We start from the raw sequence: 17,969 nt of genomic DNA, 5'->3' as shown, positions 1-17,969 counted from the left end.
TCAGCTCTGGCTGAGCCCAGGGTTTTTATGGGCCTCAGAGGGGAGAAAGTGCATGCAGATTGGTCCATGGGTAGCCATGGGCAGGCCCAGAAAAGGCACCACAAATTCCCATTCAGGTTGGTGGGACTGGAAGCCCAGCCTCCAGCCTTCAGGCCCTCCCTGGCCCTAAAGGTGGAGCCTCACGGGGGACCCGTCCCCTTCCTCCCAGGAATGTGCCTGCCTCCTGCTGCCATTCATGGCACCAGGGCTTGGCCCTGACTTTGCTTTGAGATCAAAGCAGGCACTGACGGCAGGGAAAAGCCAGGCAGTGGGAACAGGCACTTCCAAGCCTGCAAGGGCAGTGGGGGCCTTCCCAGGTCCCTGAGTGCAGAAATTCCTGAGTCTGCAGCTACAGTTTTGGTGGCTGCAGCTGTGCCTGGGAGGGTAGGGCTCTTGCCTGCTCCTGTCCCAAGAGCACAGGGATGCTCAGATCTGCAGCCACAATTTGGGCGGCTGCAGCCCCACCTAGGAGGGTGGGGCTCCGGCCTGCTCCATGGAGTATGCGGCCCTGGCCATGCCTCCCTGCTGCAGTCTGTGTGATGGCAGTGGGAGGCCATCTTGGAGCAGCCACTGCCGTCACTGGTGCTCACCCCCTCCTTCTGCTCCCTGGGCTCTTGGATATCCCTTAGCTTCTGCCCTGAATTGGGTCAAGCTCCTGGATTTGCCTTTGGGGGCTCCTCATTCTCCCTCCAGAAATGCCAGAGCTCTGTCTGCCCTTCTCTGGATGAGGGGTCCTGGTGGGCACACACAGGCTCCTGCTGGAAATCATCTGACGCCCGCAGCCTCCTCCCCAGGTGGCCCCTGCTCCCCATCCCCAGTGGGGACTCTGTCCCTCCTGGGAGGGACTGCTTCTCCCCTAGGAGCCCTCCACCTCCCTTGGCAAGGGCTGGGAACCCCCTAGGGGCTCAGGGTGTACACTGAGAGGACTTGGGGTGTGGACCTTCCCACGGAACTTTCTGCAGTTTACACGTTTGCCAGAACTATCATTTGCCAATTGTGCTTGATCTCTGGAGCCACCTGGGTGTTGATTAAACATTCAGATTCCTAGCCCCTTCCCTGAGATATTTCGGAGAAGTGGGCCTGTGGTAATGCTAAAAATTGGCTGGTCAGGCAAGCTGGGGACACTCCATCCAGGGCCCACCTCTGGTGCCCCCCTCTCTCAAAATCTTCAGTAGCTCCCCAGTGACCATAAGTAACGTCCTGCTCCTTAGCCTGGCACTCCGGCTGTCTGTGCGTGTGCCCTTGCCTCCCCCTTTCCTCTGCTCCATAACCTGCTGGGCCTCCAGGAGCCATTGCTCACAGGGCTCCATCATTTCAACTTCTGCTCCCCATCGCCACATGGCCAAGCCCTCCTGTGTTTGTTTTATAGTGTGTATATATTACTACGAACTGAGCGGCTTACAACCACATCTATTTATTAGCTCACAGTTCTGTACTTAAGAACTCCAGCCTGGCGTGGATGCCTGCACTGCTCAGGGTCTCCCAAGGCTGCAATCAAGGCATCCCAGGGCTGGATCTTATCTGGAGGCTTTGGAAGGGATCCTCTTCCAAGCTCATTTGGGCTGTTGGTAGAATTCAGTTCCCTGTGGCTGTAGGACTGAGGTGCCCATTTCCTGGTCAGCTGTCAGCCAGGGGCCACTCTCAGCTCAGAGAGCTCCTACATTCCTCACTTCAAGGCCCCTCCATCTCCGAAGCTAGCGATGACAGGGCTTCTCATGCTTCACAGCCCTCTGAATGGCCCTTTGGCCACAAGTCAGTAAAAACTGCGCCTGGAAAGGGCTTGCGTGATGGGGCCAGGCTCACTGGGAAAAATCTCTGTTTGACGAACTCAAAGGCAACTGTATTAGTCAGGGTTCTCTAGAGGGACAGAACTAATAGGATGTATGTATATAAGAAAGGTAGTTTATTAAGGAGAATTGAGTCAGATGATCACAAGGTGAAGCCCCACGATAGGCCGTCTGCAAGTTGAGGAGCAAGAAAGCCAGTGGTAGATCAGTTGGAGTCTCAAAACCTCAAAAGTAGGGAAGCCAACAGTGCAGCCTTCAGTCTCCAGCCTGAGACCCCCTGGCAAACTGCTTGTGTAAGTTCAAGAGTCCAAAAGCCGAAGAACTTAGAGTCTGATCTTCAAGGGCAGGAAGCATCCAGCACGGGAGATAGACGAAGGCTGGAAGACTCAGCAAGCCAGCTTCTTCCACTTTCTTCTTCCTGCTTTTTCTAGCTGCACTGGCAGCCCATTTGATGGTGCCCATGCACACTGTGGGTGGGTCTTCCTGAGAGTGGGTGTTCCCCTCTGTCCACTGACTCAAATGTTAATCTCCTCTGGCCACACCCAGAAACAATACTTCGCATCCTTCAATCCAATCAGGTTGACACTTAACCATCACAGCAACTGATTAGCAACCTTAATTACATCTTTTGCCACAGACGACAACAAAACCATGGGTGTGACGTCGGTTCATACTCATGGTTCTGGGACTAGGGCAGGACATCTTGGGGTGGTTTAGGATTCTGTCCACCATGCCTTGATTCCCTTCCAGGCCCCCTGCACCTGCCTTGGTCCTGCTGGAGTGTGCCCAGTGACATCATGAGCTCCTCATGACCTCATGTCCTCTTGCCATAGGACTGGGGGTCCTGGCAGCAAATTGTGAACACCTTACCCCATAGTCCCCACTCCAGGAGGCTGGGCCATGCGGTGGAAGGAGCTCAAGCTCTGAGCCTGACAAGCATGGGTTCAAATCCCAGCTCCACCATCTGTGTGACTTCAAGCACTTCCTTCTGTACCTCAGTTTCCTCATCTACACAATGAGTCCAGTAGCACCATTTCACAAGACTGTGCCAGGTGCAACAAACAAGCACCTGCTCCTTATCTAGAGGAACCAATACACGTTCAGTGTCACCCAAGCAGGAATTGCTGGGGTTCAGGAAATGCTTGTCAGTCACACCAGTCATAAGATGCAAGAAGGCAGCCGGGGTAGGGCAGCAAGAATGGAGTGACACTGGACATGCTGAGTTGGGCTCAAAGTCAAGTTCAAAAAAGTCCAGGTCAGGTCTCTGCCCTCTCCAGCTTATAGCAATGCTGGTTATGTATGCCAGCTGCTTCCTAGAAAATAATTCATTCATTCATTCATTCATTCATTCATTCATTCATTCAATAGTTGCTTAATTGAGCACTGACTACATGCCAGGTTCTGTCTTATGTCTTGGGGATAGAGCAGTAACCAAAGCAGGTGTTGCAATGACTCCTGTGGAGCTCATGTACTGGTGGGAGACAGACAGGAAAAAATAATGACATAGTGTCCTCAGTGTCACCAAGGGAACAGCAAGTGTTATTGTAGCAATTATCAGAGAGTATGTTTGTGGGGAGGAGTGTGGGCCCCCTCTGATGTGGGACATTTAAGCTGAGGCTGCATAAAACCAGAGGAAGAGCCCTGTGCTAAAAGAGAGCACATACAAAAGTCCTGGGGCAGGAACCACCCTGGACTTGTTCAAGTAACAGAAGGAACAACATGGAGAATGGAGAGGAGAAAGAAGCGGGCTCATTTACATGATGAGACTGAGGAACAGGCAGGGGCCAGAAGATGCCAGGCTGCAGGCCAGATCGGGACTTTGAATTTATTCAGAGAGCAATGGGGAGCCATAGAAGGTTTAAGCAGGAGAAGTGGCCTGATTTGGCTTGCATTTATCGAAAACTCCTCCAGCTGCCGGCTGGAAGATGCACTGCAGAAGGTCAGGAGAGGACGCAGAGGAGCAGCTGGGGCCTATTTCATCTTCTGGGTGGACTCAGACCTGTAGGTAGCAGTGGTGGAGGTGGGAGGGTAGGAGCAGGATCTGTTTTGGAATGAGGGCCGAAGGCCTTGTGAGTGTATTCTGTGTGGGAAGCAGAAAGGATGAGGAAGTGAGGGCAGCTTCTCGAATTCCATCTTGGGAAACTGGGATGAGGCTTTGTAGTGAAGGAATCAAGCTTCCAACTCTGGTGACAGTGACACAAACACACCCTGCAGGCAGCCCCTGGGGAAGAGGCTGGGTTACATGTGCACTCACAGGTGCGAGTGCTGGGCTCGGGCCCCAGGCCCTTATCTTGTGACCTCGGTGTCCTTACCTCCCCCTCCAGCCTGCCAGCCCCCAAAGTGGGGACGTGTTCTCTCCACATCCCAGGACCTCACTCCAGACTGGAACATCACGGGTGCTCAGAAATGCCTCTCCAGTGGGAGGACAAATGAACCCAGAGCACGAGGGTGCGGACAGGCCCTGCTTTGTAAGCTCACAAGGACTCAGGGGGATCCAGCAGCTGGGACAGGCCTGGCACAGCAGCTGTTCACTAAATGGGAGCTGTTACTATTATTTAAATCGCTTTTAACAGTCCCGTTCCCACACAAAACACATCCCAGTGTGACCAGTCCAGAAGCCCCTTGCCAGGGCACCAGAGAAACTGTTTGTACCCAGGAAAATACTGAAGATGAAGTCATCTTTCCTTTTATAATCTTAGATCTAGGGTGACCGACCATCCCTGTTCTCCCAGTACTGAGGGGTTCCTGAGATGTGGAACTTCCAGGGCTAAAACTGGGAACATCTCAGGAAAACCACACCCAGACCTGATTCCATCATTACAGCCCACACTGGTCCACATGGAGCAGGGTGAAGGTAGGGGGTGTGCTCTCTCCTCCCACAGCAAATCCATCCATCCATCCATCCATCCATCCATCCATCCATCCATCCTGTATTAAACATCCATCTGTCCGTCCATCCATCCATCCATCCATCCAACCATCCTGTATTAAACATCCATCTGTCCGTCCGTCCATCCATCCATCCATCCATCCATCCATCCATCCTGTATTAAACATCCATCTGTCCGTCCATCCATCCATCCATCCATCCATCCATCCAACCATCCTGTATTAAACATCCATCTGTCCATCCATCCATCCATCCATCCATCCATCCATCCATCCTGTATTAAACATCCATCTGTCCGTCCATCCATCCATCCATCCATCCAACCATCCTGTATTAAACATCCATCTGTCCGTCCATCCATCCATCCATCCATCCATCCATCCATCCATCCTGTATTAAACATCCATCTGTCCGTCCATGCATCCATCCATCCATCCTCCCAGTATTACACATATTCATCCATCCATCTTTCACTCTCACCAAACCCTCACCTCTGTTCTAGATGCTGGGAACGTGGGGATAAGTCAGATGTGGCACTGGCCTTAAGATGTCTAACCTGCAAGACACAGAGGAGGACCCTGGCCAAGGGCCAATGTGGTGTCATGGGCACATGGGCTGTCTAAATTGGAAACCTGACCCTGTTGCTCCCCTGTATGGAACCAGTTCATGGCTCACACCGTGCTCAAGGTCCAGCCCAGGATCCTTGTGTGGCCAACCAAGGCTCTGCCTCCACTCCAGCCACACGGAACTTGTCTCTCCCCACAGGGGCCATGCTCTTCCGGATCTCAGCTTCTTGCAGGTCACCTCCTCCAGAAACCCTCCATGTTCAGAGAAGGCAGACCCAATAGAGGCAGCTGCTTAAAAAGAAAGTCCGGAGTCCTTGCTGCCCAGAGAAAAGAAAGAGGCCCCAGGGCGCCTGTGAGTCCACCATGGGCCTGGCGGAGGGAGGTGTGGTGGGCTTCTCCCCTACACTCCTGCACTTCAAGGAGACCTGGGCAGGGCACATGGATGCTTGCCCCAACGCCCCATGCAATTAGGGACTGGTCCTACTTATGGCCACCCCACAGTCAGCTCCTCTCAGCCTTCTCTGGGAACTGTGGGGCTAGTGGAGGGAGGTGGTCTGGCAGTGGGATCAGGCACCTGGCTTGTCTTTTTGGGCCACAACCTAAGCTCTGCCTGGCACAGGCCTGTAGGGTCAGGACATAGAACATGCACTGATTGAAGGCCCGTGTGCACTGGGCACTGTACTTGTTTTTAGGTTAATCTTTTTTTTTTTTTTTTTGAGACGGAATTTTGCTCTTGTTGCCCAGGCTGGAGTGCAATGGCGTGATCTCAGCTCACCGCAACCTCAGCCTCCCAGGTTCAAGCGATTCTCCTGCCTCAGCCTCCCAAGTAGCTGGGATTACAGGCATGTGCCACCATGCCCAGCTAATTTTGTATTTTTAGTAGAGACTGGTCTCTACTAAAGACCATGTTTGTCAGGCTGGTCTTGAACTCCCGACCTCAGGTGATCTGCCCGCCTCGGCTTCCCAAAGTGCTGGGATTACAGGCATGAGCCACCACGCCTGGCCAGGTTAATCTTTTTTTTTTTTTTTTTTTTTTTGAGACAGAGTCTTGCTCTGTCGCCCAGGCTGGAGTGCAGTGGCTGGATCTCAGCTCACTGCAAGCTCCGCCTCCCGGGTTCACGCCATTCTCCTGCCTCAGACTCCCGAGTAGCTGGGACTACAGGTGTCTGCCACCACGCCCGGCTAATATTTTGTGTTCTTAGTAGAGATGGGGTTTCACTGTGTTAGCCAGGATGGTCTTGATCTCCTGACCTCGTGATCTGCCCACCTGGGCCTCCCAAAGTGCTGGGATTACAGGCATGAGCCCCTGTGCCCGGCTGGTCAATCATTTTTGAGTTAACTCATTCCCCTGTCAGAAGAACCCCATGGAGTGTGGGCTCATGATTACTATGCCCAGGCTGGGGACATTGACAGTTCTACCTGCGGTCACACACAAACATACGCCACACACAACACACACCACACACACACACACCACACACATGCACACATGACACATGCACACACACCATACACACCACACACAACACATACACAGCACACAAACTTACAACACACAAACACAACACACAAACACAACACACAACACACACAAACACACACACCACATATGCACACACACCCACACAACACACAACACACAAACACACACCACACACACACCACACAAACAACACACGCCACACAAACAACACACGCCACACACACCACACACACACCACACACAAAACACACAACACAGAAACACATAGCACACACAGGTAAGAAGTAGCTGAGTTCCATGGAGCCCAGAGGTGACCATCTGGGGCCCCAGGGTGTCCTGACTTTGGAGACATCAGGCCTTGACAGTTCTCCATGCTGACTGGGAACCAGAGAGGCTTCCACTCCCAGCAGAAGCATAGGCTCCACCTCCGCCCACTCAATCACCCCCTACCCACAACAGGCGTGGGGACCCTTGGGCCTGGATCCCGGCCACCCTCACATTCGAGATGATCAGAGCCATGATCCCATATGGGGGGACAGTGGACCTGCCTGTGGTCATGCAGACCTCTGAGGCCTGGGACCAGCCTTTGGAGTCCCAGCTGGGTGGAGGCTCAGACACAGCTGCCCTGTTGCCCTGGGGACTCCTGCTGCCTGTGTGTGGTGTGAGTGTGGTGTGGTATGGGTGCATGGTGTATGAATGTGGCGTGTATGCGTTGTGTTGTGTGTGTGGTGTTCATGTGTTGTGTGTGTGGTGTGTTGTGTGTGTATTTGTGTTGTGTATGTGTGGTGTGTCTGTATGGTGTGTGTGTGCTGTGTATGTGTTGTGGGTGGTGTGCTATGTGTGTGTTGTGTGTGTGGTGTGGTGTGTTCATGTGTGTTATGTCTAATGTGTGTGTGATGTGTTATGTGCGTTGTGTGAGTTGTGTTTTTTGTGTTTGTGATGTGTGTGGTGTGTGTTGTGTGTGATGTGTTTGTGCATAGTGTGTTGTGTGTATTGCATTGCATGTGTCTGTTGTGTTGTGTTTGCGTGTGGTGTATGTGTGTTGTGTTGTGTGTTGGGTGTGTATTGTGTTTTGTATGTGTTGTGTGTGTGTTATATGGTGGCTGTGTGTTGTGGGTTGTGTTTGTGTGTTGTGTGTGCTGTGTTTGTGTGCTGTGTGTGTAGTGTGTGTTGTGTTGTGTGTTGCGTTTGTGTGGTGTGTCGAGTGTTGTGTGTTTGTGTGATTTCTGGTATGTGCTGTGTGTATGGTATGTGTGGTGTTTGTGTGGTGTGTGTTGTGTGGTGTATGTTTCTGGGTTGTGTGTGTTATGTGTGTTGCATGTGTTGTGTGATTTGTGTATTGTGTGTTTGTGGTGTGTGTGTGTTGTGTGTGGTGTGTGTTGTGTGTGTTGTGTGTGGTGTGTTTTTGTGTGGAGTGTGTTGTGTGTGGTGTATGTGTGTTTTGTGTCGTGTGTTTTGTGTGTGTGTGGTGTGCGTGGTCTGTGTTGTGTTTGTGTGTGGTGTATGTGTGTGTGTTGTGTGTGGTGTGTGGTGTGTTTTTGAGTGGAGTGTGTTGTGTGTGGTGTATGTGTGTTTTGTGTCGTGTGTGCGTGTGTGTGTCGTGTGTGTGTGTGTGGTGTGTGTTGTGTTTGTGTGTGGTGTATGTGTGTTGTTTGAGTGTGGTGTATGTGTGCTGTGTGCGCGTGGGCTGTGAGCTCCTCCCACCCCACATTTCCCCAACCTTGGAGCCATTCAAAGACCTTCGGAGACCACGACGGAGAAACCGGACCCCGTGGTGGGAGCGACTCGCTGGGTTGAGAGCAGCCCGGACCCCGCTCAGCCCCGCCCTTCTCCGCGCCCTTCTCCGCACGCCGGCTCTCCCCGCGGCCGACAGGGGGCAGCACCACGCCGCGGTCCCTCTGCGCTCCGAGGCGCGGCTCCGCCTCCCGCTCTCCCGGGGAAACCGAGGCACTGAGACGCAGCCGAGGCTGCGAACGAACCCGGGCATCCCGCCCACCGACCGTAACCCCCTCCTCTCCCGGATGAACCCCGCCCGGCCGGTCCCAGAGCCGACCCCACCTCGGGCCGGAAGAAGATCGGGTGGAGGTTGGCGCGGCTGGGTCGGGGCTCAAGCGCCCAGACCCGCCGCAGGGAGGCCGCCGGTGCAGTCCTTGTGGTTCCAGCTCCGCCACAGCCCGACAGCTCCTGGCGATCCGCCCAATTAAAGGGCGCCGAGACTGAGGCTGGCGGCAGTGGGGACAGGGTCCCGGGCTCCGGGAGGGGATGGGGTTCCTGCCTCATGGCCCCGGGGCCTGGCGTGGCTCCGCCGCCCGCCACCTCCAGCCCCTGCGCGCCTGAGTCCCAGCTCCCTCAGTGCCGCCGCCGGGTGGCAGCATCCGCCCGCGCCCGAGCTGCGCCCGCGCCCGCGCCCGCCACTGGCTGCGAGGGCCAGGCCAGACCCTCCTGCTCCCCGCGTCCAGCTTCCAGGCCGTGAAATGGGGGTGGCTGCCCTAGAGTGGGGCTCTGGGGAGCAGGGGCCACCCAGGGGTGGAGCTGCTATTGCCATTTCACTTTTTCCTGTGTCTCGGTTCCCCTGTGTGTGCTGATCCCCAATGTCCCTTTTATCTGGGAACCCTCCCCATCGGCGCACGGGGCTCGGCGGCACCGGGGGCCTCAGATCGAGGGGCCCAGGAATGACCTGCACCGGGGTCGTGGCAAAGGTTCAGGGATTTGGAGGGATTAAGAAGGGATCAGGGGCGGGGGTCTGGCGGGACTGCGGCGGGCAGGGGAGGCAGGCTCTGAGCTCGAGGTCCCTACCCAGGCTTGGCCAGGTGGGACAGGGCAGCCGGATGCATACACAGACTCTCGCCTTGGTGGCCGCAGTCCCTGCTGGTCCTCGGGGACTGAGCTCTTCCCTGTCCCATCCGCCTGCAGCACCGGGAGCCATCCAGGGCTGAGAAAGCACAGAGCAGGCAGGGAGCCTGGCCTGGACAGCGATCTGGCTGTGGGTCTGGGTCTTGCCCACTGAGGACAGACCAGGCTTGGCGCAGCAGGGTCTGCGGGACTCTGGCGCTCGTTCGCCCTGAATCAGGCTAGCCGAATCAGGCTAGATGGGCTTTGGGTGTGCGCGGCACCGAGTCAATCTGACTTCGGGCTCTCCTCAGGGAAACTGAACACAGCTGGGCGCTGCAGAGGAAGCCACGAAAACCATGGCGCAGGGGCAGGGACTCTGGGGGCCAGGAGCCTCCCCCAGTGCCGGGGAAGCCCCTCAACCTCCTTCCACAGGCCTCCATCACGGCGCTTGGCCAATGGGTTCTGCAGGAGGTCACGCATGCCATCTCCCTGCATGTGGCCAGGTTAGCCCGTCTGTCATCTTTCAGGTCCCAAAGCTGGGCTAGCGCAGGTGGCAGCAGTGCTGGGACCTGGGGTTGTGGGAATCTCCCATTGAGGTTTGCTGGAGTGGCAGCGATGCCTGGACTAAAAGGATGGCCCCAGAGTACCCCATGCGGATAATTTTTGGGGGTCAGGGAAGTGCACTCGGAGAGGCAATGGGAGTGGGTGGTCTCTCCCTCCCCCACCGGAAACTGGAAGCCAAGTGGCACCGCGACCTGTACCAGTAGTTTCCCGCCCCCACCTGTACCCCCGCCCCTACCCCCGCGTGCGCGGAGGAGCGCAGGTGTCTCTTCCGAGCCGCACCCTCCCCGCACCCCCACCACTCGTCACCCAAGCCCTCTTCCCCCGCCCAGTCCCCGGAGGGCAATCGGAAGGGAGCTGGCCTGGGGAGGGGGGGCCGGGGGGTAGATGCGTTTGTGTGTCACGGGGGAGGGAGGAGAAAAGGGAGGGGAGAGCCAGGGAGCGAGGGAGAGAGCGCGCGGCGAGCGAGGAGGGCGGGCGGGAGGCGGATCCTCCTACCTGGGGCGCGCTCGCTCGCTCGCGGCTCGCTTGCCGGGGCCGCGAGTCACCTGGGGCGGCCGACAAGTGCGGACACATTGGCCGCCGCGGCGCTCGGCGAGGCGCTCACGGCCTCAGGCGGCTGCGCCTAGTGCAGGCTGCACCCGCCCGCCAGCCGCGCCCGGGCCCCCGGCCCGCGCTTGCAGGGGTCCACGGTCGCTCAACCGGGCTTCGAGGTCGCGGCCCCCAGCCTGGGTCAATTCCCCGGGCTCACGCGGCGGTGGCGGCGGCGGCATCCCGGGCTCACCATGGTGGCAGCGCGCGCCGAGTGCCCGCGCGTCGCCGGCCGCCCGAGCCGCAGCGCGGGCTGAGCGCAGTCTGCCCGCAGCCCCCTGGCCCCTGCCCGGCCCTGCCGGGCCCGCGCGTCCCCTCCGGCCGCCGCTGTCTATGGCGCAGCCCCCCTCCCTGGATCATGCACAGAAACTTTCGCAAGTGGATTTTCTACGTGTTTCTCTGCTTTGGCGTCCTGTACGTGAAGCTCGGGTGAGTACCCCGTGGGCGAGGGCAGCAGCCAGGGGCCAAGACAGCACGAAGGAGCTGCCTCCGGGGCGTCCCCGTGGGGACGTGGGGACTGGAGGGGGCCACTGCAGCTCTCTGGGCTCCGGGGCTGGCCCGTGTGTCAGACCCTCGCCCCACGCCAGCAGAGACGCAGCCCAACCCCCTGAGCTCCCGAGAGGCGCCGAGCCCAGCGCGGGAGGAGAGAGAGCGGGGCGCGCGGGCGGTCCGGCCGGGCTCGCGGGTAGCGGCGAGCGTGCCCGGCGCGTACTTTCACCTGTTTGGGCTCCAGGCCCCGGGGGTGGGACGCGCCTTCCCTCCCCCGGGCTGCGCTGGGCGCCGAGCCCGGGCCGAGCGCTCGCCGCCTGGAGGGTGCGCCGGGGCGGGGTCGGGGGGCGTCCGGCGCCTGCGGAGGCCCGGGAGGGCGGGGGGCGCGCACCCGGCCGCGAGCGCGCAGGCCGGGGCACCCGCCGCGGCCCTTCGTCTCTATCCATCACCCAGACGTGTTGAAATTACCTTGACAACTCGTCCGGCTGGCTCGGGATGGGCCGTGGGGCCGGCCGGGCCGCCTCGGGCTCGGTCCGGGGCCCGTGCCCCGCCCGCCCGGGGCCCTGGGCCCTGGGCCCGGCCCCCTCTCGCCGCGCTCCCCCTGGCGCGGCCCGGCGGGCGGGCGCCCGGCGAGCCGCGCTAGCTGCTCTCTGCGGTAGCTGCTCCGAGTCGTATTTCCACATTCCTGAACCCAGCCGAGTCCTTACCTGTTGAGCCGCGATCTCCTTTAGACAGAATCTGTCTCGGCTTCGCTCGAAGTGGGGGTGGAGAAACGGCGTGACGGAGAGGGGGTGCGGTGCACCTCGCCTGGGGCGCCCACCGCCCGCTGCTGGCCCCGCGCTCCTCGCACCTGCGGGGACCCGGGCCCCGCCGCGCCCTGCGCGCCTACTGTGCGCCGCCGGCTGCCCCGAGGCGAGCCCCGTCCAGGCCACAGGCAAGGCGGTGAACAGACCCGCGGGAGGGGCAGGTGCAGGTACCACTGGTGGGAGACGCGGCTTCCCAGGCGGAGAGGTGGAAGCAGGCGCTGGGAATCGTCTCTCCATCACCCTCCATCCCATGTCTGCCCCGCCATTTTACAGGTGGAGAAACTGAGGCCCAAGGCCTGCAGAGACAAAGCCAGTGGCTTCAGAGGCAGGACTGGAAGCCCCCGTCCTAGCCTGAGCCCTGCAGGTCTGGGCGGGCGTGTCTGCGGCTGCCGGTAGCCCCGTTTATCATAGGTCTGTGGGTAGGCTGTGTCCCTGGGTGTTTGTTTATGGAGGTGAGGGGTGCGGGGCATTGAGCCTGCTGGGCGGGGGGTGGAGTGGGCAGGCTGCTCTTTTCCTGCATCTTCAGCAGTCCTGCAGTGACTCCCGCTGGGCCCCTCAAAGTGATGGCAACCCTTAATGAGGCTTTGTCCCTGCAGCCTGATTCTCAGCGCTGAGGCCTTCCCCCTCCTGGCACCCCTAGAGTAGTTAGGTGCTTTTACTCTCCCGGATTCAAGGATTAGGAAACTGGGCACAGGACCTAAGTCACTGTCCTCAGAATTCAGTGACAGAGCTGGGGCTGCAGTTGGCTCTGACCCCCCACTGTGGGCTGCTGTTCCTAGCGTCCATTCTTCTGCCTCAGTCATCGGAAAGCAGCCCTTCCTCCCACGAGTGAGTGGGTGGGAAGACCTCTAGGAACCCCCATAGACAGCAGAAGGAGCTGACGGTCCACCCTAGCCCGGCTCCTGGGGCTGCTTCCAGGGCTTGAGGTCTGTATGCCCTTCCCAAGCCTCCTGGTCCCTTCTGTAAACAGGGATTGCAGCTCTGGCCATCCTGAACAGGATGGTGGCCAGTGTCTGAGAGAGGTCTGAGTGAGCAAGACCCCACCGGGCCTCCGTGTAGCCCAGCCTGAGCCCCGGGCACCTGTGTCAGCCTCCCTCTGGGAGGGGGTAAGAGTGAAGCAGTGGCTGAGCTTCCTTCTGTGTGGCCCTGGCTCTGCCCTCAGGCCCCACCCAGGGCCCCTGGAGGGGAAACTCCTCCCCCTGGTGAGCCAATCTAAAACACACACTCCCCACCCACCTCCTGGATTTCCAAAATGTGACCTCCGAACACCCTGTGGAATGGCAAGCAGGAAAGCCAGAGATCTACCCTGGGATCTGCTAAGGGAAGGAGAGCCAATCCCTCCCTCGAGGCTCAGCCCCTGCCCGCCAGGAATGGAGAGAAGGGCCCTGCTTTCTTTGCAAGCCATCTTGGCTACGCGCAGCGGTAGAAGGGGGAAGCTGGGCCCAGGTGTGTCGTCAGGGGTTAAATGACCTGGAAGCCCATTGCATTAAGGAGGAGGTTGGGGAGTCTGGGACCAATGGGCTGTCTGTTCTGTCCTCCTGTCACTCCTAGCCTGTGGCCTTGAGTGAGCCCTTTAACCTCTCAGCCTCCCTTTCTTCATCCAAAAAATGGGGTCACAACACCCCCTTCACTGCGTGCTGCCTGTGTTACTCCTGAGGGCCTTTGCCCTGTGGGTGCTGGAGATATGTGTCCCAATGAACACCTGTAGATACCAGGAGAATCTTTCTTATTGTTAATGACTGTGATGTCACTGAGGCTGACACCCTGGGGACTCCTCCAGATGGTGTATTCCAGGGCATCTGCATCCCAGGAGCTGGGATTTTCAGGGTCATAAAGTTCTGACCAAAGATCAGAGGTTGTATGCATGGATGGGGTATTACGTGATCACTTCCCTGCATGCTGCCTGTGTTTAATTACACGGGGGGCCACCTGGGCACGTGCAGCCATCACACACATGTGCCCCTAAGCCTGGTGCAACTCACATGTACAACCCCTGGAGGACTCCAGTACCAGCTGGAACCAGAACTCAGCCCTCACAATGCCCTTAGGGGTCAGGGCCCTAAGAACAAATGCACCTGGGATTTGGAGCAATTTGAAAACCTGATGGCTTCAGGGAGTCAGTTTCTCACCCAGGGCCCTTTTTGGACTGAGCGGCCTTCAGCTCCAGCCTTGGAGGAGGCCAAAGCAGAACTCAGAGGAGCCCGTCTGGAGTCTGGACACTCTCTGCTCACTGGAACTGGAGTCGCTGCAGTTCTAGGACCAGCCCTGCCGAAAGCCTGTCCCTGCCTTTGGGGCCAGAAGCAGAGGGGCCCGAGAGCCCTGGACTAGGGGGGATGAAGGTGGAGGAAGTGGCTGCTTCCTCCTGGATGATGAGCCTCCACACCAGGTCTAGAAGTTAGAAAATCCTCTTCCTCAGGACGACGGGCCAGACCGCCCAGCCTTCCCTTGTCTTGCCATCTTCCTGCTTTGTGCTGTGATTCAGATGTAAAGGGATGGTCATGTGGAACCAGAATTGGCTAACGACAGGAGGTGGGACACTAGACCTATGTTTCTGGGCTTAAACAAAAAATAAAAGGAACTCGAGGAGGGAGAACGTCTTTGTAGGTCTACTTCTCCACAAACCCATCCCCGCCAACCGCTCAAAGGAGAGCAAAAGAAGCAGGATGGGGAAGCCAGAGTGGGGAAGCCTCTGTGTGAGGAGAGCAGCACCTGCTGGCGATGCCTTCCCACTGGCGGCCTCTCCAAAGAGGTGCCCAGGCAGGGTCGTGCAAGCTCAGCACCAGCACAAGGCTGGGCCTGGTTAGCCATGGCAGTGCCTGTGTGCGACCCACAGCCAGCCTCCCTAAACCCAGGGCACACGGGGGCAGAGGCTCAGGACACTCAATGCATCTGTGCACACACACCTGTCCTCACAGACTGCCCACGCTCCCGCAGGCACACACAGGCACATGTAGGCACATGCATGCACACACGCGCATACGTTGCCGAGCACAGCCCCCCAAGAGGAGCACAAGCCTCCGCGCAGTTCCCCCGGGGAGCCGCCCCCACGTGCACCTTCTGGAGCCAGGCCAGAGCTGTGTGGCTCCCTAAAGGTGGGGGTACGGGTGTCCCAGCCAAGGCAACTTGGGCAAGCCCTGGAGGCGGCTCCCACCGCACGCTCCGGTCAGCCTCCCCTTTAAAAAAACCCGCCGGGGGAGGAGGCGGATGTAGGGGCGGCCCGTCCAATGGCAGCTGCGCGCCTCGGGAGACTTGGAGAAGTGAGCCAGAGCGAGCGACAGAGCCGGTTCGCACCGACAGACGGACGGAGGTCCAGACCGCAGCCAAGGCGCGCCCGCTGCCCCCGGCCGGGTCCCCGCCCCGCACTCCAGCCCCAGCTCCCGCCGCTGCCCCAGACCCAGCGCCATGCGCGGCCCTAGCGGCGGGGCACGGGCGACAACTGCGCCCGGGCCCACGAGACCCGGCCCCTAGCGCCCAGCGCCGCCGCCCTGCATCGGGGAGCTCCGCGGGGACCCCGGCCTCAGCTGGCCCAGGCGCCCGGCCCGCGGAGCCTGTTCAGCCCCGCCAGGCACGCCGGCCCACCATGCTTCTACTGTCGCCGCGCAGCGCGCTCGTCTCCGTCTATTGCCCGCAGATCTTTCTCCTCCTGTCCAGCGGCAGCTACTTGTGAGTGCCGCGGGCGGCGTGCGGGGTGGGCGGGTGGGCTCCCCCCGGGCCTCCAGCGCTGGAACCGGGCGGGCAGGGAACGCGGCAGCGAGGCCCCTGGGCGGGGCACCGGGTGACCGTCGCGCGCGGGAGCCGGGGGACTTTAGGTCGCCTCGCCAGCCTAAGCTGCCGAGGTGGAGCACTTGGCGGGCAGCTACGGCAGTGAGAAGTCCTGGCTCTGGGGTCAAAGAAAGGATGGCCTGAGAGCGGCTCGACTGCGGGAGTAGAGCAGGCTGTGCACGCCCAGCGCGAGGGCCCGCGGGCACGCGAGCGGCGCCGAGATTCCCTGCGCGTCCCAGCAGAGTCCTGGACCAGCGGGGGACCCCTCCCCATATTAACCCACGCGGCGCGCAATACCATGCCACACTTGGGAGAGCCGCACTCACACACCCGCTCCCTCGTGCAAACACCGGCATGCACGTGCACGCCGCGCTTCACCGGACAGCGCCCGGACTGTACCCCGAAGTCGCTGCGGCTTCTCGCGCCTTCCTGCCGCGCTGGGTAGCCTGATCCCTGCCCCTGCCGAGTCCTCACCTGGGGGCGAGGAGGACGCGCATTGCGTGCTGGCGGCCGCGTTCGCCCAGTTGTCTCGGCCAAGGGAGAGCGCGGAGCGTGGGCGCGCGTGTGTGTGCCCGGCAAGGCAGAGCCCACGGGGCTCTGAGAAGCTCCGGGCAGGGCCGAGTCCAGCCCAGTGAGCCCAGGGGGCGCGCAGTGGTGGCTTCGCCGAATTCCTAATGGGACGCATATGCTCTGGCCTCTGACTTAAAAAGAAGTTTCATTTATGGAACCGCCGTTTGGGGGAATTTAAGCTGGATGCTACTGATTAAACCTCAGAGCCTGCTCTCCCTCCCCTTCTCTTCCCTTCCCCCTCCCCCTCCTTTACACGCGGGCCACGTCCGGGGTCGCCTGACGCGGCCAGAGGGGGCAGCCGCTGCCTTCCCGCTCCCTGCGCCACCCCCTCCCCCCATGCGGTTGCAGTCCTAATACATCGCCTCGCCCCCACCCCCATTTAATAAAGACGCAGCCAATTTCTCCTCTTGCTCCTAGGAAATTACTATCCTACCAGTTTTCCTTCTATAAATAGTCGCGCATCTTGAAACAAAAGTTCGCAACCGCAGCCAGATGCTGCGAGGCCCGCGGTTTCCCGGGCTGTGGGACATAATTACAAGGTCCGGGCACAGAGAGCGCTCCAGGCCCGGCGGGCAGCCCCGGCTGCGGAGGCATCGCCTGAGGGGGGCGGGGCAGCAGGGCGCATGCGGGTGGGGACCGCCTGAGCAGTGGGGACCCAGGCTGATAAAGTGCCAGGGTCCCTGGGTCCTGCTTCTGGTGTCCTTTCCAGGAACTGGATCAACCAGGGGACTTTGGAATTTCAGCGTCTAGCGGTTGGAGGCCAGGAAGCCTCCCCCTCCCCAGAATCCTGGCGTTTCAGCCTTAGGCCTTGCTAGAGAATTGGCAGCTCCGGTGCTTGGGAAATCAGTTTTGGAGCCGGCTGGCTGAGGTTCGGTGTTCATAGAGAGGTGTCCGGGGTGGGAGACCAGGAGTCCTGCGGAGGTGGAGGCAAGGGAAGTGGGGGGGTTGGGGGTTGGGGTAAGGGTCGGAGAGAGGGAGGTGCGCAGGGGCCCCAGAAGCCTGGTGGGAGTTGATGCCAAGGCAGCAGTGAGGGGCCTCTGGGGCAAGGTGGTGCCCAGTGTACCTCTGCAGACCCCGGGTTTACCTCAGGGCTGGCCCCTCATCCGGGCCTGCAGTGACTACCCCCGCCAGGCTTGCTCCTGGAGTGTGCACTGCCCAGCTGTGTTGGCAGAAATTCTCCTAAGGAAACAGTTTTTCCAGGCATCCCTGGGCCAGTGCTGGGGTCTGGCCTGGGTCGTCGGGGACAGGAAGGCAGACTGCATCCCTGACTTGCCCTCAGTAGCTCCTGCCCCACAGGGAGGAAGACGCTGACGCCAGCCTTCCCCAAGCGGAGAGGAACCCAGACACGTTCCCGGAGTGAGGGGGGTGGGTCTCAGATTTCCCTTGCCCGGTTTGTTTGGTGGGCGCAAGGCTGACCATAGATGGGAGTAGGGCCTGCGCGATTCGGTTTGAATGAAAGCATGCAAAGTGAGAAGACCTTGGTTTCGATGTCTCTGACCCGATGGCTGCACTTGGGGGAGGCAGCCAGCAGCAAGTGCTTGGAGAGCTGTGAGAGGTGGGGGTGAGTGTCAGCCGACCCTCAGCACTGCAGGC

At 59.5% G+C, this 17,969-nt stretch overlaps 1 protein-coding gene across 2 annotated transcripts in view, besides 4 other annotated features; it reads left to right on the top strand.

Moving 5' to 3' along the window:
- Window positions 1-501: an enhancer, noted in NCBI's record as "H3K4me1 hESC enhancer chr22:46383241-46383741 (GRCh37/hg19 assembly coordinates)". NCBI's record gives its function as "activates a minimal SCP1, AML or CMV promoter by ChIP-STARR-seq in primed H9 embryonic stem cells {active_cell/tissue: H9 hESC(primed)}" and the evidence as "EXISTENCE:reporter gene assay evidence [ECO:0000049][PMID:30033119]".
- Window positions 502-1,002: an enhancer, noted in NCBI's record as "H3K4me1 hESC enhancer chr22:46382740-46383240 (GRCh37/hg19 assembly coordinates)". NCBI's record gives its function as "activates a minimal SCP1, AML or CMV promoter by ChIP-STARR-seq in primed H9 embryonic stem cells {active_cell/tissue: H9 hESC(primed)}" and the evidence as "EXISTENCE:reporter gene assay evidence [ECO:0000049][PMID:30033119]".
- Window positions 8,528-9,097: a silencer, noted in NCBI's record as "silent region_13890". NCBI's record gives its function as "represses an Ori minimal core promoter by ATAC-STARR-seq in GM12878 lymphoblastoid cells {active_cell/tissue: GM12878}" and the evidence as "EXISTENCE:reporter gene assay evidence [ECO:0000049][PMID:35858748]".
- Window positions 9,178-9,327: a silencer, noted in NCBI's record as "silent region_13889". NCBI's record gives its function as "represses an Ori minimal core promoter by ATAC-STARR-seq in GM12878 lymphoblastoid cells {active_cell/tissue: GM12878}" and the evidence as "EXISTENCE:reporter gene assay evidence [ECO:0000049][PMID:35858748]".
- Window positions 10,700-17,969, top strand: part of WNT7B (Wnt family member 7B) — a 56,797-nt gene continuing 49,527 nt past the window's right edge. Inside the window, exon 1 of one of the 2 annotated variants that reach the window (NM_058238.3) lies at window positions 10,700-11,178. In NM_058238.3, the coding sequence (NP_478679.1) occupies window positions 11,108-11,178 (71 nt within the window). In that variant the 5' untranslated portion in view covers window positions 10,700-11,107. Of the gene's footprint in view, window positions 11,179-15,320; window positions 15,708-17,969 lie in introns of those variants that run through there. The other variant, NM_001410806.1, reaches the window with a different exon arrangement.

The sequence above is a fragment of the Homo sapiens genome, chromosome 22 (assembly GCF_000001405.40).
Source record: "Homo sapiens chromosome 22, GRCh38.p14 Primary Assembly".
Classification (NCBI taxonomy): domain Eukaryota; kingdom Metazoa; phylum Chordata; class Mammalia; order Primates; family Hominidae; genus Homo; species Homo sapiens.
Note: the sequence above shows the minus strand (reverse complement) of the source record. Positions and strands in the feature narration are given on the sequence as shown.